Source organism: Homo sapiens, chromosome 21, assembly GCF_000001405.40.
Source record: "Homo sapiens chromosome 21, GRCh38.p14 Primary Assembly".
In the NCBI taxonomy this organism is placed as follows: domain Eukaryota; kingdom Metazoa; phylum Chordata; class Mammalia; order Primates; family Hominidae; genus Homo; species Homo sapiens.
In genome coordinates, this window is record NC_000021.9 from 42,472,409 (window position 1) to 42,496,302 (window position 23,894).

At 46.1% G+C, this 23,894-nt stretch overlaps 1 protein-coding gene across 4 annotated transcripts, besides 4 other annotated features; it reads right to left on the minus strand.

Moving 5' to 3' along the window:
• On the minus strand, positions 78-23,816 carry RSPH1 (radial spoke head component 1). Of its 4 annotated transcripts, NM_080860.4 has the most exons (9): positions 23,725-23,816; positions 20,558-20,671; positions 20,350-20,455; positions 13,963-14,053; positions 13,261-13,396; positions 10,229-10,300; positions 4,883-5,036; positions 3,490-3,639; positions 78-462 (listed from the first exon to the last, which is right to left on the minus strand). In NM_080860.4, the coding sequence occupies exons 1-9, from the start codon at positions 23,776-23,778 to the stop codon at positions 410-412; spliced, it is 930 nt and encodes a 309-aa protein (NP_543136.1). In that variant the 5' UTR covers positions 23,779-23,816; the 3' UTR covers positions 78-409. The 4 variants fall into 4 exon arrangements, with proteins under 4 accessions (NP_543136.1, NP_001273435.1, XP_011528088.1 ...); NM_001286506.2 differs by lacking the exon at positions 20,558-20,671; XM_011529786.2 differs by lacking the exon at positions 10,229-10,300.
• Positions 4,301-4,380: an enhancer, noted in NCBI's record as "active region_18520". NCBI's record gives its function as "activates an Ori minimal core promoter by ATAC-STARR-seq in GM12878 lymphoblastoid cells {active_cell/tissue: GM12878}" and the evidence as "EXISTENCE:reporter gene assay evidence [ECO:0000049][PMID:35858748]".
• Positions 6,057-6,126: an enhancer, noted in NCBI's record as "active region_18521". NCBI's record gives its function as "activates an Ori minimal core promoter by ATAC-STARR-seq in GM12878 lymphoblastoid cells {active_cell/tissue: GM12878}" and the evidence as "EXISTENCE:reporter gene assay evidence [ECO:0000049][PMID:35858748]".
• Positions 19,952-21,151: an enhancer, noted in NCBI's record as "CDK7 strongly-dependent group 2 enhancer chr21:43912470-43913669 (GRCh37/hg19 assembly coordinates)". NCBI's record gives its function as "activates an origin of replication core promoter dependent on BRD2, BRD4, P300/CBP, MED14 and CDK7 cofactors, with strong dependence on CDK7, by STARR-seq in HCT116 cells {active_cell/tissue: HCT116}" and the evidence as "EXISTENCE:reporter gene assay evidence [ECO:0000049][PMID:35650434]".
• Positions 23,773-23,892: a silencer, noted in NCBI's record as "silent region_13344". NCBI's record gives its function as "represses an Ori minimal core promoter by ATAC-STARR-seq in GM12878 lymphoblastoid cells {active_cell/tissue: GM12878}" and the evidence as "EXISTENCE:reporter gene assay evidence [ECO:0000049][PMID:35858748]".

A 23,894-nucleotide genomic window follows, 5' to 3' on the forward strand; every position in this document is an offset into this window, starting at 1 on the left:
AAGGAGAAGACACCACTGAAAAACCATGGCAAAACCACGTGGTAACCTTCAGTTTACAGAACTTGAAGCAGAGGCTATTTCAGAAAGAAAGGATAATAAAGACGTTTATTTGCATTTGTCAATCAACTTAACATACAGCTGAGAAAGAAAGACTAAAAACCCTCTAATAAAGATTGTTAACTGACAGAAGCATTTTGTTTTTGTTTATTTTTTGAGACAGGGTCTCGCTCTGCCACCCAGGCTGGAGAGCAGTGGCGCGATCTCCACTCACTGCAACTGCCACTTTCTGGACTCAAGCAATCCTCCTGCCTCAGCCTCTCAAGTAGCTGGAACTAGATACACACAGCACTGCACCCGGCTAACGACAGAAGCATTCTTATGATACGATCTCCTCTCGGCTCACTTCATCTTAGTCCTGGAGGTCTGACTGTCTAGTTTCTTCTTCTTCAGAATTAATGTTTCCTGAAAAGAAAAGAGAAACATGAGTATATCTCATATTTACTTTGTTCTATTTTTAAAGCCTTTATTCACTAACAGATCTTTTGCCGAAAAAAATTATTGTAACTATTAAGCATTCATCAGTCAAAAATTGAATGTTAAATTTTATCTCATATGCACTTCAACAGTTTTTTCTTTTGGTACCCGACATAAAATAAGCAAAATACGTACTCAAAGTAAATGCTAAGACAAGACTATCCATGTAACATCAGTAATTCTCTTATGCCTGCACACCTGTCCAAAACAGCCAGCTTTGTGGCTAAAACATGTAATTGCTTGGCTATTAATTTAAAAGAAAAGCAGGCCGGGCGCAGTGGCTCATGCCTGTAATCCCAGCACTTTGGGAGGCCAAGGCAGGCGGATCACTTGAGGTCAGGAGTTCGAGACCAGCCCGGCCAACATGGTGAAACCCCGTCTCAACTAAAAATACAAAAATTAGCTGGGCATGGTGGTACATGCCTGTCAACCCAGTTACTTGGGAGGCTGAGGCAAGAGAATCGCTTGAACCCCGTGGCAGAGGTTTCAGTGAGCCGAGGTCACGCCATTGCACTTCAGCCTGAGCAACAGAGCAAGATTCCATCTTAAAAAAAAAAAAAAAAAAAGCAGAAATTTGCCACATTCTTATAAGACGCTATATTTAAATGTTTTGTGAAAGGTAGAGCTATTTTTTATTATTAATTAAACTCTATAACTTTCACTGTTGGGTATATTAAAGAAGAAATTAGCAGGGTAAATCTCCAATGTAATGTGGGATTCATGATGAATACATGCTGAACTTGCATTATTTTGATAAATGTTCTGCCGACTAAGCCTATTTTGTATTACTCCCTTTTCACTTAGGGCCCTCCTGACACTGTGGCCTGGGTGACCCTTTGCTGGGGGCTGTTCTGTGCCCTGCAGGGTATTCAGCACCGTCCCCGGCCTCCACCCAGGAAGATGCCAGCAGCACCTCCCTCACCAGCCTCCCAAGTCTCCAGACATTGCCAAATGTCCCCTGGAGCCCCAAAACCACTGAGTTAAGGGGGTGTTCCCTCTGTCCAAGGCTGGTGCATGAACCCACAGTCTCAGACGCCCGCTGGTACTGGGCATCGTCCACTCGGCCCCATCTCTCCCAGTCCGGTTTTCAGGATTCCTCCTGCTCCATCCCCTCCGTTATCTCCCCCACCAAGTTTCTGGGGCCTCCTGCCTTGCCTGGCTCCAGGGCACCCATCCTCATTGCCCCAGAGAAGCTCAGAGAGCAAGCCTGATACAGGCAATCCCCACAGCTCCCAGAGGTCCCGCCTACTGGGCTCAGGATCAAGTTCAAAGGCCATCTGGTTCCAAGGGAAAGGGGCCACCTCCCCACCCCCACACTCTTCTGCTGTCAGACTCTGCTCTCTGCCTGGAATTTCCTTCCTGGTTTCACCCATTCCTTGCCACCTCCCTCCCAGCTAACCCGGAGTTTCCTGGTCCTGCCCCAGGTGAGTCATCACCTCTCCTGGGTACATGGTAACACGTCCCTGTCACTGCAGGGAACTCACTGATTCCTTTATTCCAGCTTCCCATTAGGTGCTAGAGGGCGAGAGCCCAGCCCCTCACTCCCACACTGCCTATCAAACCCAGTGTCTCCCCCTCCAGCTGTGCTCCACAGTGACTAAGGACTGACATCTGTGGGCACAGCTAGATGCTGCTGTAACACTGTGCATACTCTAGCCACTCAGTCCTAACAGAATCCTGTGGACTCCCTACCTACCAGGGCTCACTCTATCCACCCTCCCTGTGCAAGTCAGAGAAGCAGAGACGATGCTCACTTGTAAAGCCAGGTTTCCACCTGACCCCACGTCCCACCTCAGCACTGCGTCACTGGGTGCATTGCTACAGCGCTCAGGGGAATTACCGATCACGAAAGTCTATGCCAGCGCTCAGGGGAATTACCGATCACGAAAGTCTATGTGTGCTTCAAGCATCTAAGAGAAAACTGCTTTATGTGATTTCATTATTTCAGGTATTATTTTCAAAGGAATGGGAAGTATATTCTTAATTTACAACAGAGACAAACTAAGTGGAATGGGACTGCAGACCCCGTGCCTGAGGCCGCCGTGCCCAGGCTGTTCCCAGATGGCCCTTTCCCTCACAAGCACGACACCCTCTTTCAGTCAGATGTGAAAAGTGCGTTAAGGGAAGCGAGTCCTCTCTCCAGACTTTCTGCAAGTGCCCACAAGCACTTGGGGAAAGATTTTTAAAGATTCCAGGAGCCTGAGGCTTCAGTCAGTCAGAACTGAGGTCAAATCCCTGCCCTATGAGCTGGCAGAGGCAGAAGTTTCTAGATTAATCTTACATCCAAACCCATTGAAAAAGAGCTAGTTCCCGACACCACTAGTCTGAAACCATACTCCTGTTAGTCAGCCCTGCTAAAAATCATGCAAATCCCAGCACTTTGGGAGGCCGAGGCGGGCCTCCTGTGTGAGGTCAGGAGTTTGAGACCAGTCTGTCCAACACGGTGAAACCCACCTCTACTAAAAATACAAAAAAATTAGCCGGGCATGGTGGCATGCACCTGTAATCCCAGCTACTTGGGATGCTGAGGCAGGGGAATTGCTTGAACCAGTGAGGTGGAGGTTGCAGTGAGCCAAGATCGCACCACTGTACTCCAGCCTGGGTGACATAGCAAGACTCCATCTCAAAAAAAAAAAAAAAATCATGCAACAGAAGAAAGCCAGGCTCTGCATGTCTGACAGGGCTCTCCAGCCTGGGGTCGGTCCTCCTGTGACAACGCGCATGGGCACCGCTGCACACCCAGGCCTCTCCCACTGCAGCCAGGCTTGCAGGAGGGCCTGCCAGGGAGCAACGTTCTGAGATGGCTCCAGTGAGCGCTCACAGGGGGCCCCCTAAGCCTTCCTCGAGTCCCTGGGGCCCAGCTGAAGGCAGGCCTTGGTGAAGGGAAGGGGAATCCCACTGTTCGTGGCCCCTAAGTGCGGGCCCTCGCCCCACTTCCCTGCGCAGGGACCTCACCCTCATCCATGTCATAGCGGAACTCCTCCTGGTCATACTCCCGGCTCTCTTCCCGGAGGACGTCTGCATCTTCATCTCCAGGCCTCATGTCCATCTCACCCTCGAAGCCCTCCAGCAGAGCCTGGGCCTCCTCCCCGGGTTCTCCTGCACCTGAGATAAAACACAAGTCAGAAGCCTGAGTTCCTGGGAAAAATGGAGCCTGCAGACCTGTGCAGGGCAGCTGTCCCCTGGGCTGCCGTGCCCCCACCCTCCCCCTCCCACTGGCAGCACCTCATGTTCCCCATCTCAACATCCACCCAGCCCAGCCTAGGCCTGGCCAGGGGAGCAGCCCAGTCCCCACTGTAGTCAGTGGCTTGGGGATGGGAGCAGGTAGTCTGATAACTTTCATTCCTGAGGGTGTTGATGAGACTCTTGAGAAAGAGAAGTCCCCTGGGGTTCCTGAGAGTGCCAGCCAGGGGAGCCAGCAGAGAGGAGAGCTGGGACAGAGGGCAGAGGCTGCCCGGCCATTCTGGGGGCTGTCCCGGAGCTTCCCAGTCACATGAGCCAAGAAATTCTTAGCAGCATGAGTATTCTTTCACGGAGGCCAATCGGAGTTGGCTTTCCTCCGCTTGCCATGGAAGGGATCTCACCCGGGGTAGCCACCTTCAACTTTCCCCAGCACATTAAGGACTTCCAGAAAGACCACTGGGTTGGACATGGAGGTGCCACACGGACCCTTCTTCAGGGAAGGGCTGTCCCCTCAGCTGCTGTCAGTGCCAGCCCGGGGTCACACCCACATTCACTCACTGACCTAGGTGAGGGGATAAGGGTCCCCGAGACGCCACAGTGCTCCCCATGGAATGAAGCAAGGTTGTGGAGGCCACACCTCCGCCTCTGTCCAATCAACTCTGTTTCTTTCCTCTCCCCTCCGCTCTCCGGGAGTGTCCTCCAATCCCAAAGGCTCTCCCTAATAACATCCCGCACACTCAACTGACCCAGCATCTGATTTTCAGAGAGTCCAACCACACCTGGCCTGAAAACAGGATGTCCACAACTCCCACAGCCCAAAGGCGCCCACACCCTCCATCCCACAGCCTGGGGATGCCCCACACCCTCTGTCCCACAGCCCGGGGGATGCCCCACACCCTCTGTCCCACAGCCCGGGGGTGCCCCACACCCTCTGCCCCCTCCACCCCACAGCCCGGGGATGCCCCACACCCTCTGCCCCCTCCACTCCACAGCCCGGGGATGCCCCACACCCTCTGCCCCCTCCACCCCACAGCCCGGGGATGCCCCACACCCTCTGACCCCTCCACCCCACAGCCCGGGGATGCCCCACACCCTCTGTCCCACAGCCCGGGGGTGCCCCACACCCTCTGCCCCCTCCACCCCACAGCCCGGGGGTGCCCCACACTCTCAGCTCCTGGAGCGTCTTGGCCAGGTCCATCCGTAGAGGTCGGCTTTTTGGGGAGAGTTGGTGTCCACAGGGCCAATTCAGTGATTTGGGTAGCTTTCCATTTTGGAACAACAGTTACTAATTCTTCCTCCTCTTCCTCTTCTCCTCTTTCCTATTTTAAGTGCAAAAATGTACATTTACCAACATTTGTGTCATCTTGGTCTGGAATATTAAAAGTGAGGGAGGAAGGACAAGTTTTGAAAGACAGGTTTTGGCTTGTGTTTCAGCCTTTTTAGGACGTCACTCAGGAATCAGACCAGTTGCTGACTATCCATGGTATAATCTCAGGGTTGAGAATGGATCTTGAAAGAGCCAGGGTGAGGAATAAAGTCTCCAGAGCAATGCTGGGCCAGCGAGCTTTATAATGGGTGCCACAAAAGGCTTTCAGATGAGCATGTCGCAGTCGCCTGCAATAGCTAAGACATGGCCAGGACTAAGTGGCCAGAACTGAGTGACCAGGAGTAAGTGGTCTTTTCAATTGTTCGGCCACATTTTGCAACTCTAATATAAAAAATCGTGTATTATATAATTATATGTCTATTGAGCTTAGTAGAAACATAATTATTTATATTATTCTTTATATAAATAATAAAAGAAACAGCCATTTGTTTTAGGCTTAGGCCTAAGAAGTTCCTAAGATGTCCATATGATATGGATTTGCATAAACGCAAAAGCTCAAGTGTCAAGGATTATGGGGAAAAATAAAATTCAAGGAAAGCAGAATGAGAGTTCATCAAGTCTGAACATGGAACACTTTGTAATAAAAAATGTACAATTCCGACAATGGTGAGCAGCCAACATGTGCCAATTTTGCCAAGCATATTTGCCTACTTCTCAGTTTTGTGACTATCACAAAATTCCAAAGATCTGAGCATCAGCACTATGACTATGGAACACTTCGCTGCCACATAGGTGATAATACCGATGACAGAGAGGGGCAGACACCTGCCTCTTCCACTGAGTCACTGGGAAATCAATTACTCTCTATTTTGGTCTCAGAGTGTTTGAATATGGCCACCCATGAAGGGTGACACCAATGCTGCAGGACAGGGTCCTCAAACTTGACTTAGATCAGAATCACCCAGAAAGCATTAAAAGACAGATTGCTAGCCCCACCCCCAGAGTTTCAGATTCGGCAGGTCTGGGATAGCGTCCAATAAGCTGCATTCCTAACAGATTCCCAGGTGAAGCTGACAGCACTAGTTTGGGAACTGCACGCCACTTTATGTATAAAACCAAGAGGTGGAACCCTTTCACATTGCTGGTGGGAACGTAAAATGCTGCAGCTACTGTAGAAAACATTTGACAGTTCTTCAAAAAGCGAAACAGCATCACCATATGACCCAGCAATTCCACTCCTCGGTATATAACCAAAGGAACTGAAAACAGAGATTCGACCAGATGCTTGCACACCAATGTTCACTGCAGCATTATTCATAATAGCTAAAATGTGGAAGCAACTCAATTGTCCATCAACAGACAAATGGATAAGCAAGAACCTTGAAAACGTCGTGCTAAATGAAAGAAGCCAGACACAAAAGGACAAATACAGAATGAATTCATCTATATGCGACATCTAGAATAGGCAAATTCATAGAGAAAGAAAGTAGATTAAAAGCTATCAGGGGCTGGGGGAGGTCGAATGGGGAGTTGTTGCTTAATAGGTACAGAGTTTCTGTCTGGGATAACGGACAAGCTCCAGAAATGCATCATTCTCACAGCTGCACAACACTGAACGTACTGAATGCCACTGAAAGCATGCTTTAAAATGGCAAATTTCAAACTCTATAAACGTACATATAAAACCATAATTTAAAAAGAAACAGGGAGTGAGCCGTGGGCTGCAGCTTGGCAAGCCCTACTCTAGAAGGGATACATTCCCCTTACTAGGGAGAGAGAACACGGAGGCCCTTCTGTTCCACCACCATCCTAATCCATCCCCACAGCACAGTGGGAGGCCTTCCACAAAGCCCTCAGGTTGTTGCTGCATTATTTCATGGGTGGTTTTTCCTAAACAGCAACAGGACTTGGGGCTTATATCAGTAATTCTCTCTTAGATGTTACTGATGCTCCTTCTACCTTCTTCTCATCATCCTGAAATACTGACTTCTAGGAACTTTTTCCAGTAGAGTCTAAAGCTGCAAAGCACTTAATAAGATGGGCTTTATTTTTATCACTACACAAATGTAAAAACTTGCTCAATCACCAGTAACCCTAAACAGTTATTACCAGTGCTGACAAGATATCAATTTAACCAATAGGTTCCTTCAGGGAACAGATGAGAGGTGTCCAACCCCATGGAAATCCCAGCAAAATACTAAATACCTCCCTGTCACAATCAAATCCTAAAGCCGACTGTCTTTCTTAGGCTTCTGACTATGTGTGTAGGAGGTTACACACACACACACACACACACACACACACACACATAAATGAAGTGGAACCTCGGGGGAGGACAGTATGTCAAATTCCTCTACGTTTTGTTAGATGCAGGTGACTTACAGGAAGCTGCCTTCCACCCAGACTAGAGCACCCTGCGGTCCATGAAGAATTCGTGCTCAGAGGAGGTAGGGCCTCTTACTTAGCAACAAAATCAAGCATTTTGGCCATTTCATTTTCTGGTTTTCTAGGGACCTGCCCCTAGCCAGTGGTTCCTTTTAGCTGGAGCAAAGCAGGAGAAGAGGCAAGGAAGACAGATCACTGTGAGGCCACACAGGATTCTGGTCAGCCAAGAAGGTGGACCATGAGCAACCATGGGCTGTTTGGGGAAACTAAATAACCATGGCCAGAGTGATGTGCAGAAAGTAGAATATCACAGGAGCGGGAATCAGGAAAAGAGGGTGGCTGAGGTCAGGGCCGAGAGCCCCGGGGATGTCCAGACTGTGGCCACTTGGGAAGCAGCAACGGAGCACGGACAGTCACTTGATCATGGGAGGTTAAGGGATAAAGATTCAAAGACTCCCTTTGGTTTTAGAATCTAACAAACTCTAGGAAGAAAAATGAGAAAAGTTAAAAAACTGTCTGGAGGGCTGGGCGCAGTGGCTTACGCCTATAGTCCCACCACTTTGGGAGGCTGAGGCAGTGGATCATCTGAGGTCGAAAGTTTGAGACCAGCCTGACCAATATGGAGAAACCCCGTCTCTACTAAAAATACAAAATTAGCTGGGCGTGGTGGCACATGCCTGTAATCCCAGCTACTCGGGAGGCTGAGACAGGAGAATCGCTTGAACCCGGGAGGTGGAGTTTGCGTTGAGCCGAGATCACGCCATTGCACTCCAGCCTGGGCAACAAGAGCGAAACTCCATCTCAAAAAAAAAAAAAAAAAAAAAAAAAACCTGTCTGGAGAGCATTGAAGAGCATTGAATTGAAAAATTAGTGATGAGTTTAGACTTAGGATTCAAGGCCAGGGCCCTTGGGGTGAAAGGATGGAGCATTAGGTAGAGACAGCAGTGGGCGGCACAGAGCAGGTGCGGGACAGGCCCTCATGCACAGGATCTCCCGCAGCCTTCCAAGCTCCCCACAGTGTGGCTTCTACCTCCTGTGACCAAGGATAGCTTTCCACAGCCTCACACCTGAGCCCAAGGTGACGAGGAGTCGGTTTAAAGCAGGGCCTCTGGGTGATGCCAAGGGCTTGACGAGGGACACAGCAACAAAAAAACAAAACGAGGTGACTTGGCTCAGGTTGTGACATAGTTTGGGTGTTTGTCCCCTTCAAATCGCATGTTGAAATGTGACCCCCGGGGTTGGAGGTGGGGCCTGGTGGGAGGTGTTTGGGTCACGGGGGCAGATCCCTCATGAATGGTTTGGTGCCTTCCCTGTGGTGATGAGTGAGTTCTTGCTCTATTAGTTCACACAAGAACTGGTTGTTAAAAATATATATATATATACCTGGCACCTCCTCCCCTCTTTTCCTCCTCTTTTGAGCTATGGTACCAGCTCCCCTTCACCTTCCATCATGAGTGGAAGCTTCCTGAGACCTCACCAGAGGCCAGGCAGTTGCGGGTGCCATGCTTCTTGTACAGCCTGCAGAACTGTGAACCAAATAAACCTCTCTTCTTTATAATCTACCCAGCTTCAGGAATTCCTTTATAGCAGCACAAAAAGGACTAACCCAGGTTGAAAGGGCATTGATGTGATGGTAGACCCAAACAAGCCGTTCCCCGGCTTTCTTCAGAAAGAAAGTATGCAGACATGGGAGAGTTTGTGTACGATAATATATTCTTAACTCACTAGGAGGGGACACCTCAACAACTTCAGAGACCAAAAAACAAACAAAAGCGTGATTCCACACTCCTCCTTAAAACTCAAAACTTCTTACAGTGAGAATGACCTCATCTAAACAAATAAGTCAAAAGGATCAAAACCAGTACCAGGGTCAGGAAATGTTGCTGAATTGCTAATTATCTAGAGGGATTGATCAGACATTAATAATGAGAGGAATAGGAACACATATATTCCCACCTCAACACACATACGCATCTCGATGCCTTATAACGGCAATATTAGCTGACTAGCTTTACTATTAACCAGGGAATGTCAATGTAGTGTTAATATTAATGTTAGATATTGGAAAGGAAAAAACAAGAGAAAGACTTACCAACGGCACGTTCAGAGGAGCATGCTGCACAACGGACAAGCTAACAGTCACTGGACAAACTGTGGCAACACCAGTTACAGATTCAGTTTTCACTTGCAGGACCTAACACTGTCTAGAACCCTCCCACTCAGGATTAGTTTTTTATTTATTGGTTGTTTGTTTGTTTGTTTTTGAGACAGAGTCTCACTCTGTCGCCCAGGCTGGAGTGCAGTGGCGTGATCTTGGCTCACTGCAAACTCCGCCGCCCAGGTTTAAGCGATTCTCCTGCCTCAGCCTCCTGAGTAGCTGGGATTACAGGCATGCGCCACCATGCCCAGCTAATTTTTGTATTTTTAGCGGAGACAGGGATTCATCACGTTGGCCAGTCTGGTCTCAAACTCCTGACCTAAAGCAATCCACCGCTTCGGCCTCCCAAAGTGCTGGGATTACAGGCGTGAGCCATTGTGCCCTGCCAGGATTAGTTTCTATCAACAAAAACGGTATCTATCAACAAAGTCTAGAGTTCTGCAATAAATGGGAAATGATATTGTTTGCTTCTGGCAATTTAGTTCTGTACTAACACATGCAGATAAGGAAAATGAAAATGTGAAAGTGCCTAAGAGTTGGCATAACTTTTAGGCGAATCACCTCCAACCTTGCAGGATCAATATTTTTGAGCAGCTACTTCCCTGTTAATGTAACAAAACCCTACATGCTCCGCAACTTACCATATCTGTTAAACGATATTCACCATGTTGTTCACACCCAACATCAAATACATACTTTCCAGGGCCAACAGGCTACGAGCAAAGAGAAACCATTCTTAAGTGTCAACACCCAGCAGAAAATACAAAATACAAATGTCACCACCACAATACCCACCTCAAATCACCAAATTGGGTAAAGTGTAACATGGATTAAGGAATGCTTTTGTGAACTCGTGGCTGATGGGATTGGAACTTATATGCCCTGTTTTGTTTACTTTTGGAAACTTTAACCACATTTTACTTTTTTATAAAAGTGATGTATTCATTTTCAGAAAACCTCAGTGAATCAGTATCCATAGGCAAACTAGCTACCGATGGAACTACTACTAATATTTTGATGCATTCTTTGTAACTTTGCTTCTAGTATACATGGTTAAATAAAAATCTGATCATAATTATACATACTAACTCATACTCTATTTTTACTGAGAAATATGGCATGAACTACTTCCCGTATTTACAAATATTCTTTCCTAATAACAGTTGCCACCTGGTACTTTATTTCATCTATGGATTGCAACCTATTTTACTCAGTTACTATTGTTGGTATTTGGGATACTGATTTTTTTTTTTTTTTTACAAAGAACGCTCCAGCAAACGTACTCTGAGTTAAAACTTTATGTACGCTTTTGATACCATCCTTAAATTCTCAGAATTTCTGGACAAAAGCATACATGTGCTTTGATTAGATGAGGCTCTAATCGTTTCATTCCCATAACTGCACTTAAGAGTCCCAGATCCTCAAACTCTTGATTTTAGGAGTGTAAAAATGGTCTATTTTTACATGTTTTTTTATATAAAACAACAGGGTCTCACAATTTTAATTCACTTCATTTCAGTTGTTAGTAAGCCTGCATTTTTTTCAAGATTTTTAGCCATTTAAATCACATTGATTGATAAAACACTTTATATATTAAATGTTGCAAATATTCTCTCCCCATTTAACAGTCATCTCTTAGATTTTCTTTACAGCATTTTCTAATCTATAAGAAGTTATTTTTATAAAGCTAAACCTATTGGTTTTTCCTTTCTATTTCTGTTTAGAAAGTTCTCTTTCCTCATTTCAAGGTTAATATTCATCTACATTTTTTTTCTATATTTCCTAGGGTACATTTAAATCTTTACTTCTTCTAGAAAGTATCTTCATCTGTGTGAAGGCAAAACTATTATTTTCCTCCCAAATAATTGTCAAGTGTTCCTAGCACTATGTCTTGACTCCTCCCATCATCCCTTTGTTAATTTGACACGCTTATTGTGTGTGAAATTATTTTATATACTGGGAACTGTCTCTGGACTTCCTAATTTGCTTCATTGGTGTGTGTGTGTGTGTGTATCCTGGTATCACACTGTTTTAATTATTGAAGTTTTGTGGTATTGATAACTTGTCCACAAGGACATGTACAGGGAATTTTCTGAGGAAGAAACACAAACCAGCAATAAACATGTGACAAGATGTTTGACCTCACTAGTAATCAGGGAAGTACACATTAAAACAATGAGATGACATTTTTTACCCATAAGATTGGAAAAGAACAAAAACAACATTAAAGACTGAGAATATCCAACATCGATGAGAATATATGATAAACAGACTCATATTCTATTGGCAAGAGTATAAACTGACACCACTTTTTAGGAAAATGGGCACTACCGATTGTGATTCTAAATGCCAATCCTCAAAGGTTTCACAATTCCATTATCTAACCTACACAATAGTCCCAAATGTGCAAAATGACAAATATGTATCTTTATGTATATTTTTGTATCCTGACACAGTATGATCCTAATTATGTAATTAAAACCCCCAAACAATAATTCTGTGTCAGATGACTGTATTAGAATGTGCTTACATGACACACAGAAATAGTGTGGAAGGATTGGGCCCAGGGTGGTGGGGCAGGATCCTAGTGTTTAAATGCTTTACAATTGGAATGTACTTGTGTATTATTTGTATAATTTAAAGTTTTTTACTAACTAGCAAAACAAAGCCTCCATTTTTACCCCGATTTTTCAGACTGGTTTAGGCTGGACAAGCTGATTGATTCTTCCAGATTCATTTTCATCAAATTCTCTTCCTCTGCAACCACCTTCCCATCTCCTCCAAAAAGACCCACAGAAAGTTTGCTGGGAATTATATAAACAATGTATGGGTTTGAGGGGAATGTGCTGTTTTGATGAAGACTAAAAGTAAAATCTGTGGTTAGGGCATGAATTATACGTAAATGAAAACTGGGTTCTAAGAGAGTCTGAAGAGACTTCGTTGTATCAGCTAAACATTCCCTCTGTCAACTTCTAACACCATCAATTTGCTCCGCAAATTCTCTCTTCAGGGAAAGTTTCTGCTCAACCCCTGATCAAAGCTACCACGATGGCCTGAGTATTAGCTTCTGAATTATTCAAGGTTTCTCTGTACAATAAGGGCAAGAGGAACCACCGAGTCTTCCAAACAGAAACGGCCCACCATGGGTGCTAGAAGCTGGCAAGCCTCCAGACGCAGGGCCAGGCCCTTGGCAGCCTTAATTCCCACCACAACTAGGAGCACGCAGGCTGGCCTGTAGCATGAGGAGGGAGCTGGGGGTCTTCCTCCCCAGGGATGTCGCACCTCCCCTTCCAGGGAAACAAAACCCAAACACCTCTATGCTCAATTGCAGGAAATAGATATTTGGTATCTGATTTACCCATGAGAAGGAATACACACAAGAGGTTCAGATGCCCTCTCGTGTTATATAACAATGCAACAGGTCCCCGCTGAAAGACAGTGGGAATTTGTACTGAGATCCAGAGAAACGGGCCAATCCCTCCCTTCCCCCAATTCTGTGCTCTGTGGGTACCAGAGGCTCAGAGAATGGCACAGCTGTCCTGTTCTCCACATTTGAATAGGCCGGACTCAGTTTTCTCTGAGTTTTTGGTATTCTCTGGTCACACATTTGCACAGGCTGCCAGAGGGGGTTATTTTGTACTTCATTGGCAAATGTCACTTCCCATGGACTTACATTTTTGTTCAAGAACTTGCCCTGGTACCTGTGGTTCAGGTGAATGAGCTCGGCCGTGCCCTCCTGCTGTCCGTTCACCCAGGTGCCAACATACTTACTGCCCGTCTCCGCGTATAAATAGGTGCCTTGCCCATGCCTGGTTAAGACAAGGGGAACATGGTATTTCGTTCCAGCACAGTGAAAAATCTCCCAGGTTTAAAACACAGACATTGACATTGAGGGAGGCCCAGGCTGTTGCAGGCTCACAAGCGATGTAGCTTCTATATCTGTGTCCAGTCAGAAGGTGCCCCTTGCTCAGTGTGCCCCAAGCACAGGACATTGCCAGAGGCACAGAGGACAGGCCAGCTGGACAGAGGCAAGCCTCCTGTGTGTCAGCTGCTTTCCCCAGGGAAGAGGCAGAGCTAGTGGGAGCTGTGGCTCAGGTCCCCCAGTGGCTCTTCTGTGCCCTCCACTCCCTGGGACTCTTGGGTGAAAGACTCACGTGCTCTGCCCCAACTGAGGTGCAGATGTCAGATACTTGAGTCTACACTTGCACAGAAAGGCATCCTTGCCTCAAAGCCATAGAAAGATTGGACCTGCCTGGCAGAGTTGGTAACTGGGCTTTTGTTATGATTCTGTTCCTCAGTAAGTGTAAACAATCTGCAGACATCATGTTCTCATTACATAAGCAAATCCCGTTAAGACCCAAGATAGAAACCGAACCTTTGATGAGCAAACCACTCTCCAGTGTAGGTGTCATTATTGATGTAGTAGTATACGCCATGGCCGTGCCGCAGGTCATTTGCCCACTCTCCTGAAAGGAACAACACAAAGGCAAGCCCAGGTGAGAAGAAGGGATCGATGCCCTGTACCATGTCTTCAAATTGTTAACCATGGCAAAGGCAGATGTGTTGTGAAGCAAATGAAGCCCATGCACACACAGGCCCCTTCTGCTCAGGAAATCCTGCAGAAGAGAGATTTTTAACAGCACCGACCAAGGCTGCTATCTGTTTCCACTCTGACATCCCTCCACCCCTTCCTTTTGTGCCAGATGGCATAGGTGCTGAGCCACGGTGGACAGTGGGCTAAGAGAGGGCTGAGTCAGGAGTTCACGGGGTACAGAGTGAGGTGTATGGATGTGGGCCACAGCCACCTGCATGTACTGACAAGCACATTTCACAGGTTAGTCAGAGGCACCACGAAGATGCAACGAGGAGGGAGACAAACCAAGGTTGTCTGACCCATTGCCAGTGATCCTAACACCACACTTCATTTACCTTGCAAATGTTTAGAGATCCAGCAACAACTCCAGGGCTTGACCATCTATCCTCAGCCACCTGGCAGCATTTCAGTCTATCTCCCACCCAATCATCTGACTCCAACATGCCACTCTAACCCCAGCTGCACACCAGCTCCATCCGCTGGTGCCATGCCTCTGTTTGAACTCTTCCCTCACCTCCTCACCTCCATACGGCTTCTGCTAAGTCCTTATAGGCTTGGTAGGCAGTACTGAAATTGGCAAGGATATCATAAAATTCATAATACCACTCCATGATGTGGACAACTGCAAACTACTTTTGTCAACCACAGTATGAATCCCTGCACTAGAAAACTCAAAACGTCCTCAAATCTTACAGCTCACTTAGGAAAGAAACTTAATAGAGGTCTCCCAAAGGTGACTGCTCTTAAAAACGTGCATATTACACCAAGTCATTAAGCTAAATGATATGTTTTGAGACTATGAATAATAAAAAGCAAATGTTGATCAATTTGTTGATCAAAGAGAAAAGAAGGAATTATATTTCTATTCTCTCTATAGAAAACATTACAAAATGGTTGCCATATGGAGAAGCATTCAAAGAGTATTAGCTAACAAAGGTAGAGAAAAGCTATTCTAGAAGTATGTCAGACATTAAAACTCAGGCTACTTAGATTCTGTGATGTTTGTGGTATTTTTAAATTTTTAACTTATTTTGATTTATCATTGCAAATGAAAATTCACTTTTATACCAACTTTATATTTTCTTTTTTTTAAAGAGGTTCTCAAAACTTACATAAGCTTCTGGCTTACACAAAAACTGGACCCACTTCCACATGAAGATAAAGAATACCCAATAGGCTAAGAAAATGCTAATTATTCAAGTAATATTTGTTTATGTGAATAACCCCAAAATTTATCTGCAGAAGGAACTTCTACATATTTATTTCCTCAATCATCCCATTATTTACTCAGCACCTACAATGTCCTGGGCACTTTGTGAGATGAACGAAGAGCTGTACAAAGGACAGTGCATGTCCCCAGGGCGCGAGCACCAGCCTGAGGATGGAAGGTTGGCACCTGAGCAGCAGCTGAGGACAGGGAAGGCAGCACGAAAAGCTGCATGGCACAATTTCAAAAAGTGGGTAAGTCATTCAGAAAAGAGCAGGCTTACCAAAAATTCATGGAGAGAGGGAAGGTGGCAACTGCTAACAATTAAGGAAGAGGACTAGGTCCCATGATGTGATGTGTGACAGGAACAATGTGAACAAGAGAGATGAAGATCCCCAAATTGAGATAATTCAGTAAAAAATACTTCAGGTCCCTGAACCTAAATTAACCATGAGGATGTGCAAATACCTAGAGGGATTTGTCTGGGTCTTAAGGGGCAGTGATGTGCCTGGATTTGTAACATTTGCCAGGTTCTGTGGTGTAAATACTCACACCGCGGCCAATTTCAAGCTACACATGGAGCTGGGAAGAGATGCACAGAATGGGTTTTTGTGAGCTACTATGAGGGGGTTCCAGCACAGCCCTGGGGCATAGAGACCTCAGCTGAAACAGGTACATCATTTGGTTTCTTCCCAACAAAACTTCATGACAAAATTATTACATCCCTCCTCTCTTGGCCATGTCAGAGGATCTCCAGGGTGTCATGGTGAGAAAAATATATTACATATTTTGCAGAAAAATTTCAAAAATAAAAGAGAACAGTTAAGTTGCAAAAGACACTAAATTTTGCACCAAGAGGACGGTGAGCAAAATTTTTTAAAGTCCCAATCTACTTAAAAAACCTGTTAAGAGGCTCGGCCCAGCATTTTGTAATGCCACCACAGGGACCCTGCACAAATAGAGAAGGTAATTCAGAGAAAAGTCACCTGCTGAGGCACATCTCTAACAGCTATAAGTCAAGTTTCCTTTTTTGAGGTGAGTGACATTTGTAAACTTTATTATTGTGGCTTTAAATTTGCACTTAATTTTTTTTTTAAAGTCTTTCTACCCCAATCCTATACTTTCTGATCATTCTTGAACTTGTCAACTGAGGTTTTTTCCAACTATATTTCTTCTCAGGAGTAACTCCCAGTTGGTTGGTTGGTTGGTTGGTTGGTTGATTTGTTGGTTAACTGGTTGGTTGGTTGGTTGGCTGGTTGGCTGGTTGGTTAGTTGGCTAACCGATTGGTTGGTTGGTTGGTTGGCTGGCTGGTTGGTTGGTTAACTGGTTGGCTGGGTGGTTGGCTAGTCAGTTGGCTGGTTGGTTGATTGGTTGGCTGTTTGGTTGGCTGGTTCGTTGGTTGTTTGGTTGGTTGGCTAGTCAGTTGACTGGTTTGTTGATTGGTTAGCTGTTTGGTTGGCTGGTTGGCTGGTTGGTTGGTTGGTTGGTTGGTTGGCTGGTTGGCTAATTGGTTGGTTGGTTAGACAGTTGGTTGGTTAATTGGTTGGTTGATTGGTTGCTTGGTTGGCTAGTCAGTTGGCTGGTTGGTTGATTGGTTGGCTGTTTGATTGGCTGGTTGTGGGTCAGTTGGCTGGTGTGGAGCAGGTGCTCCTTGGGTAGAGCAGTTTGTCTGGCACTTGGGATTGAAGACAATTTAAAATGAGAAGCTCTCCAAGATGCTCCTCCCCCCTCAAATGCTGGTTGGTCACTGGTTTGCCATGCTGGCCCATGGTCTTGCCAAGTTGGCTCCCTAAACTGCTGGGTCAGCCAAACACAGGAGAGAAGGAGCCCACACTTATGGGGAAACACTCGGTGTCAGACCCTGGGCAGGGTTCCGTGCACTTGCCACAGCATTTGGTATGTGTAATCGCTGAAATATGGTTTTACAGATGCAGAACCTGAAAAGCAGAGAGACTGCATGCATTCCCCAAGGTCCCACAGCTGGTGGGTAGCAAGACTGAAATGAAAATTGGAGTCTGTCTAACACCATGCTCTCTTCTCCACAAGCATCCCAACAGTCAAGTGCTCATTTTTTCCAGCTCCTGCCATTCGGGGGCTTCCAAAAAACCCAGGTTCAAGTTATCATGTCATTCTTCTTTCTCCACAATGTCATTCTTAAACTTCTTTGTTTTGATGAGTTCTGTTTGACAGGCAACAAGGCCAGCAGGGAATAGGGATGCTCTTTCTCCCCCTTAACCTCAGAGTCCTCAGTTGGCCCTACACCCCCAACCCTCAGCATCAGTACATGGGGTCTAGGCCTCCCCCACATCTGGCACCCACCCTCCCCTCCATCTCATCCCCCACTACCCCTAAAAACCTCGGCCTTCCTGCCTGTATCCAAGTCACCCGCCACCCAGGACCGTCTCCCCACTCCTCTCCTGCAGCACTATAGCCTCTGCTGGCTCCTGGACTCCCTAATTGGACTTGTGTGACCATCTGGGAGACAGGTAGGGTACTGGACTTTATGCCACAGGGTCCTGACGTTGAACACACTGCCCTGCACAAAACCATTCTGGCCCATTGTGATGGCAGCCAGCCAAGATACACTGTTATGAATAACTCAGCCATACATTAACTGAGATTTTGTGATTGGAAGAGTATTGGCTTACTATGTTATAATTAATATTATAACTTCTGACCTCAGTTTCCATTGCTGCCTTCATGAAGTAAGACACTTATTTAAGCTTTTGTCAGAGAAGAAATCTCTGGGTAGTGGCTAAATCTTGCACCCTTTAAGATACAAAGCCATCTGGAGAATCAAAAATCCCAACTGTTACCAGAAGAGCTTTATATGTTAGTGTGGCATAATAAGAAATATTGGTCTTTATTCATGGTTCCCAGCACAGAGCTCCTAAAACCCTTGACATTTCCTGACTGATAGAAATGTTTTTGTTATTCAAAATGAGACTCTTTTGACCACACCTGAACTTATGCAAATGAGGCCCAGGATGGCCTCAAGATGGGACTGAACACCAGAAAGACCAAGTGATAAGAAGGATAGAACCTCCAGCCCCACCCACCAACTTTTGGTAAAGAAGAAGGAAGGGGCCAGAGATTAAGCTCTGTAAAAACTCTTGAGCAAGATTTGTTGAGCTTCTGGGGTGATAAACATATCATGTGCCAGGAGGGTGGTGCACTCCACCTCCACAAGGACAGAAGCTCCTGTGCTTGGGAACCTTCCAGGCCTTGCCCTCTGTACCTCTGAATCTGGCTGTTCATCCATATTCTTTATAATATCCTTTACAGTAAACATGAGTAAAGTGCTTTCCTGAGTCCTATGAGCCGCTATGGCACATTATCAAACCTGAGTAGGGTGTTGTAGGAACCCCCAATTTGTAGCCGAGTCAGGTAGAACTGTGGGTACCCTCCGGATCCACAACTTGAGGTTGACATCTGAAGTGGGGCAGTCTTGGAAACTGAGCCCTTAACCTGTGGGGTCTGTGCTAACTCTGGGTGGTGTCAGAATGGAGTTGCATCATTGGAAACTCAGTTGGTGTTCACAGAAGACTGGAGAAGTACATAGCATGGAAAATCCATGCATTTGGTGTCAGAGAAACAGTTACCCATTTTTAACCTTCATATTCAAAATTCCTTAAATCCCTTATCCTAAATATCTTCGTGTGTGTGTGTGTTGTTCAAATTGTATCAACATCTACACTAAAATCAAAAGTGACAAGAATGAGATTAGGTGCATAAGGATTTGGAAAGAATTAAATTAAGCCCCAAATTAAATTGTTTAAAGTTGATTTAAAAAGCAGATGGTGCTTCTTATAGAGCAAGCCTTCTGGGATTTATGAAACAAAACAAAACAATTTCTATCTAACAGGGATGGTATTAAAACCCTCCATCTTGGTCTCAGAATTGGACAGAATCATCACTGACATCTATTAAAATAAGAACCACCTACTGGTTCTTATTTTATCTAGGAGCAAAGCAAGCAACTATAGCTCGCACTTTGTAAGAATATGTCCTCCTCACTAAGAAGTGATGCTGTCACAAGTGGTACATCACAGTCCTAGCCCCAGTTACTGAGTGCTCACTATGGATCAGGCAAGGTTGCAGGTGTCTCCCTGTGTTTATCCATTGAATCTTCATGCTACAGATGAGAAACTGAGGCAAGGAGATGTGAAGTCACCTATGCAAGCTCACACCTATTGTCACCAGAGTCCAAGGTTAGGGTCACAGATCTTTTTGGAAATCTGAAGAAAACTAGACAATTTCTTTCTTCCTAGGGAAAAAACAAAAAGCCCAGAACACAGAATTTTATATACACTTTCTGAAGACTCACAACACGCTCCCTGCCGGTCCCCCTGCCCAGGTTTGGGATATCACTAATGTGGTCACACCAGGTGACAACGGCACAAGGGGCGGCAGGGAGGTTCTTGGAAATAAAGGAAAAAGAATCCTCCTCAAACATAACATTGGCCTGTAAGGACTTATGGCACAGGTAGGAAAAGTCAGTTTAACAAGGCAGGAAGACTCCCAGACAGGAAGCCCTGATGTAAGGAAACACTCGATCTGAAGAAATAACACATCCGTCAGATGGCGGGGTTGGTCAGAAATGGAAAATGCAAAGACAGGTTCAGGAAGATGAATGCCGCAGAGCAGCTGAAGCCGTGGGTCCACCAGCTGCGAGGCCTGCGTCCACTCAGGAGCCTCCCTTTTGTCTGCTCCCAGGACATGGACATGCTGGCCACAGGGACAGATTTCCCACTACAGATTCATTAGTGAGTTAATTAATTACAAGGCTTTCCTATTTCTGCATCAACACTGTGAATATAGTAACACGATCTGTGTTCGTTGAATGAGTAACTGGAGAACTTTAAGCTTTCTCATACATGTCAGTATTCACAGACAAGTTCAGTCATAAAGAAAGAAAAACTTCTGTAACACGAAAATCTGCTTAGTGATAACATTTTACCTTCATATCTGGATCCATCTGGATATATAAAAGTGCCTTGACCGTGCTTTTTATTTCTAACATATTCTCCGATATATCGAGCACCATTTTTAAATTTGTAGATCCCCTGAAACACATTGATTATATCATTCATATCATTGCTGAATGTAGCATTTGCTAACAGAGTATTAAATAGAGAAAACCATCCAGTCAAGTCAACGGTTCTGACCTGGCCATGTCTTTTACCGAATTCGTAGCTCCCTTCGTAGGTGTCCCCGTTGGGTAGCCGTGCCCTCCCACGTCCGTGCCTTTCGCCTGCCTCATTCCGACCCCCCTCATATTCCTGGGTAATGAAAATTGACACAATTACAGCTACCATTCATTAAGCGCTAACCAGGTGCTAAGCATTTTGTAAATATCATACCCTTGAGTCATCCCACTATGCTAAACCCCCGGCACTATACTCAATTGTCCCACCTTTCCCACCTTAAAGTTGAGGTAGGTAACAACGCCTGGGCTAGATGAGGCACTAGACCAAGGCCACACCCCAGCACATGTCCAGGGCGGAAGCCTCGTTCCCTCCCTCCAACACAGAGCTTGCAATTCATTGTGATAATCCTTTACCCTGTAAGCAAGGTTAACCAATTTGTGAAAAATGCTAGATACTCTAAGCTGTGTTCTTAGTAGGAACATGCTTGAAATAGTACATGCGGGTAGAACAGTTCAAGTCCACACAAATACCTCCCCGTTTGCTTCCTTCAGTAATCCAGGATTTCAAAGGCAAATGCCCAGAGAGAAGCAACTCTTCCCTCAAATGATCCCTGGGGCGGGGTGTGGCCTGAAGAGACCTTTGCCCTGCAAGGAATTTCCGATGGAAGGGACAGGTTGGAGGGCACTGAGGAGTACACAGGGCTCCCTTGCTGATTAAGTTTATCTTATTTTTAAGACCCCTAGCAAGAGACTTAAGGTTCGAACACTCATGACCCAATGCTGCAATAATTATGTATCTATCTGTGGTTTGTTTTTGTTTTTGAGACAGGGCCTCACTCTGTTGCCAAGGCTAGAGTGCAGTGGCACAATCTCAGCTCACTGCAACCTCCGCCTCCCAGGCTCCAGTGATCCTTCCACCTCAGACTCCTGAGTAGCTGAGACTATAGGCATGCGCCACCATTCCCAGCTAATTTCAAAATTTTTTTGTAGAGACAAGGTCTCACTATATTGCCCTGGCTGGTCTCAAAGTCCTGGACTCAAGCGATCCTTGGCCTCCCAAAGTGCTGGAATTACAGGTATGAGCCACCATGCCTGCTCAATTATGTGTCTATCTTAAAAGTAAATAAATAAAAAATGTGATCAAAGCTTGCAATTTTCCTATCCTTCAGAAAATAAATGTTCCTTAGCACCTAATACATGGGTATAGAGTGAATATAGTAAATAATAAAATGCTGAAAGCATCCAGTAATGATTTAACATGGGTATCTCATAACATCACACTGTATTTCTTAAATATACATAATAAAATTTATTAAAAATTAAAATTAAGAAATTGAATTGGATGTATATAGACTTATTATAACACAAGTACTGACACACTACATTGAGGACTTCAGAAATAAACGTCTGTGCAATTCTTGCCCTTTTCTAGCACTGTTTGGACCACTAATTCCTGCCTAGAATATAAGGTAAAAATCTGCGACCTCACAGATTTGTTTCAGGGTTAGTTTACATCAAAATGTACAAAAGTCCCCTCCTTCTATCCAAGAGGCTTCCCAATACACCCAACACTGAGCCGCTGGGGTGGCTGAATAAGACAGAAATCCTTTAAAATGACCCCAAATGTGATCTGAACCTAAAAATTATAGGCACTAAAAAGTTACAAATCAGTGGGGCCATTTGAGGAGACAAACTAGAAATCTTGCTGGTCAAGTGTTGCAGGTTGGGTTCACCTAGAAACAGACCCTGAACAAGTGATTTTTTTTTTTTTTTGAGACAGAGTCGCTCTGTTGCCCAGGCTGGAGTGCAGTGGCGTGATCTCGGCTCACTGCAACCTCTGCCTCCCGGGTTCAAGCCATTCTCCTGCCTCAGCCTCCCGAGTAGCTGGGATTACAGGTGCCCGCCACCATGCCCGGCTAATTTTTTGTATTTTAGTAGAGACAGGGTTTCACCGTGTTGCCCAGGCTGGTCTCAAACTCCTGAGCTCAGGCAATCTGCCCACCTCGGCCTCCCAAAGTGCTGGGATTACAGGTGTGAGCCACCGCGCCTGGCCTGATTTTTTTAAGTGCTCTCCTGGGAGAAAGTAGTAAAGAGGGCAGGGAAGTAGACATGAAAGGGCAGGCAGCTAAGGAAGGATGCCTTTGCAGGTGAAGTCCCAGACTTGGCCTAATCCAACAGGGACTCTGGGGGCATCAATCGCACTGCAGACTTTGTCCTGCTTCTTGCACTAGCTACTGGCTGTCTGGCCGGATGTGAATTTCAGGCACTTCTGGCTCTCCATACTGGGCAGGTAGTTCCAGCGCACAGAGGTGATAGCTTGAGTAGCAAATCAGGCGGAAGCTGGGAGATGAGTGCCCAGAGCTAGCAAAAAGGTCTGGGCAGGCACTGACAGCACCACTGCAGAGTCGCTAGATTTTTCAGTTAATTCTGAAAGTACCTCAACTCTGTACTGTGCATGCAGACCATAGTGGCTGAGGTTCCCTATCTGTCAGCCATGGAGAGGTCACTCTCTGGAGTAGGGAGGAACTACTCTCTGGGTGATAGAAATATTCCCACACAGAACCCAGCTCACAGGCTGGATGTGCCCTCTTTCTCCTCTCTGCTGCCTAACTCAGGAAATAACTCCAAAGACCTGGGTCAGTTCAGATGGGGACTGAAGAAAGCACATGTGAGGATACGCCTATAAGGTAATATCTTCAGGAACCCTCTCCTGAGCCCAGGGCCTCCTCAGCATTTCTTGGAGGCTGCCAGGAAGCAACTATCCTCCATGCATCTAAATGCCGGGGGAGCAAATCTCAGCTACAGAAATGACTTATTCAAGGGCAGTATGGCAGCGTGGGATGATCTGCTCATCCGAGAAAACTGCCTCGATGGGAATTAACACAGGGAGGAGGAAACTTCCAAAGCCTTCCGCTGGGAAATCTTTGCCTTTAATGGGAGGCAGGATGGGGGTGGGGGAAGAACGAGGCGGCATGTGGTAACCAGACGTCACAGCGTTTCACTTTTCACCATCAACTTCCAGGACGCACGCAGGTGTGTCTGGCGTGGCCTTCGTCCCTGCCGGGGATCCTGGGGAGCTGTGGCTCAGACCTCTGGTTTCTGCGCCTCCTCACTCTCCAAACCCAACCTCGAGGTTCCCCCGCCGCTGCGCACCCTGGGAAGCCCTTTCTCACCAGGAGCTCTCACCCCAATATCATTCTCTCCCTCCTCCTCCAACTCCTCCGAGCCCAGGTCCGACATGGTCTCGCCCCAGCCTGGATCACAGCCGCAGCGCCTCTAGCAGGTGGGTAGCAACCGCCTCCACCGCCGCGTCCCGCGTCGCCATGGAGACGCGGCCGGTCCCGCCTCCCTCCCAG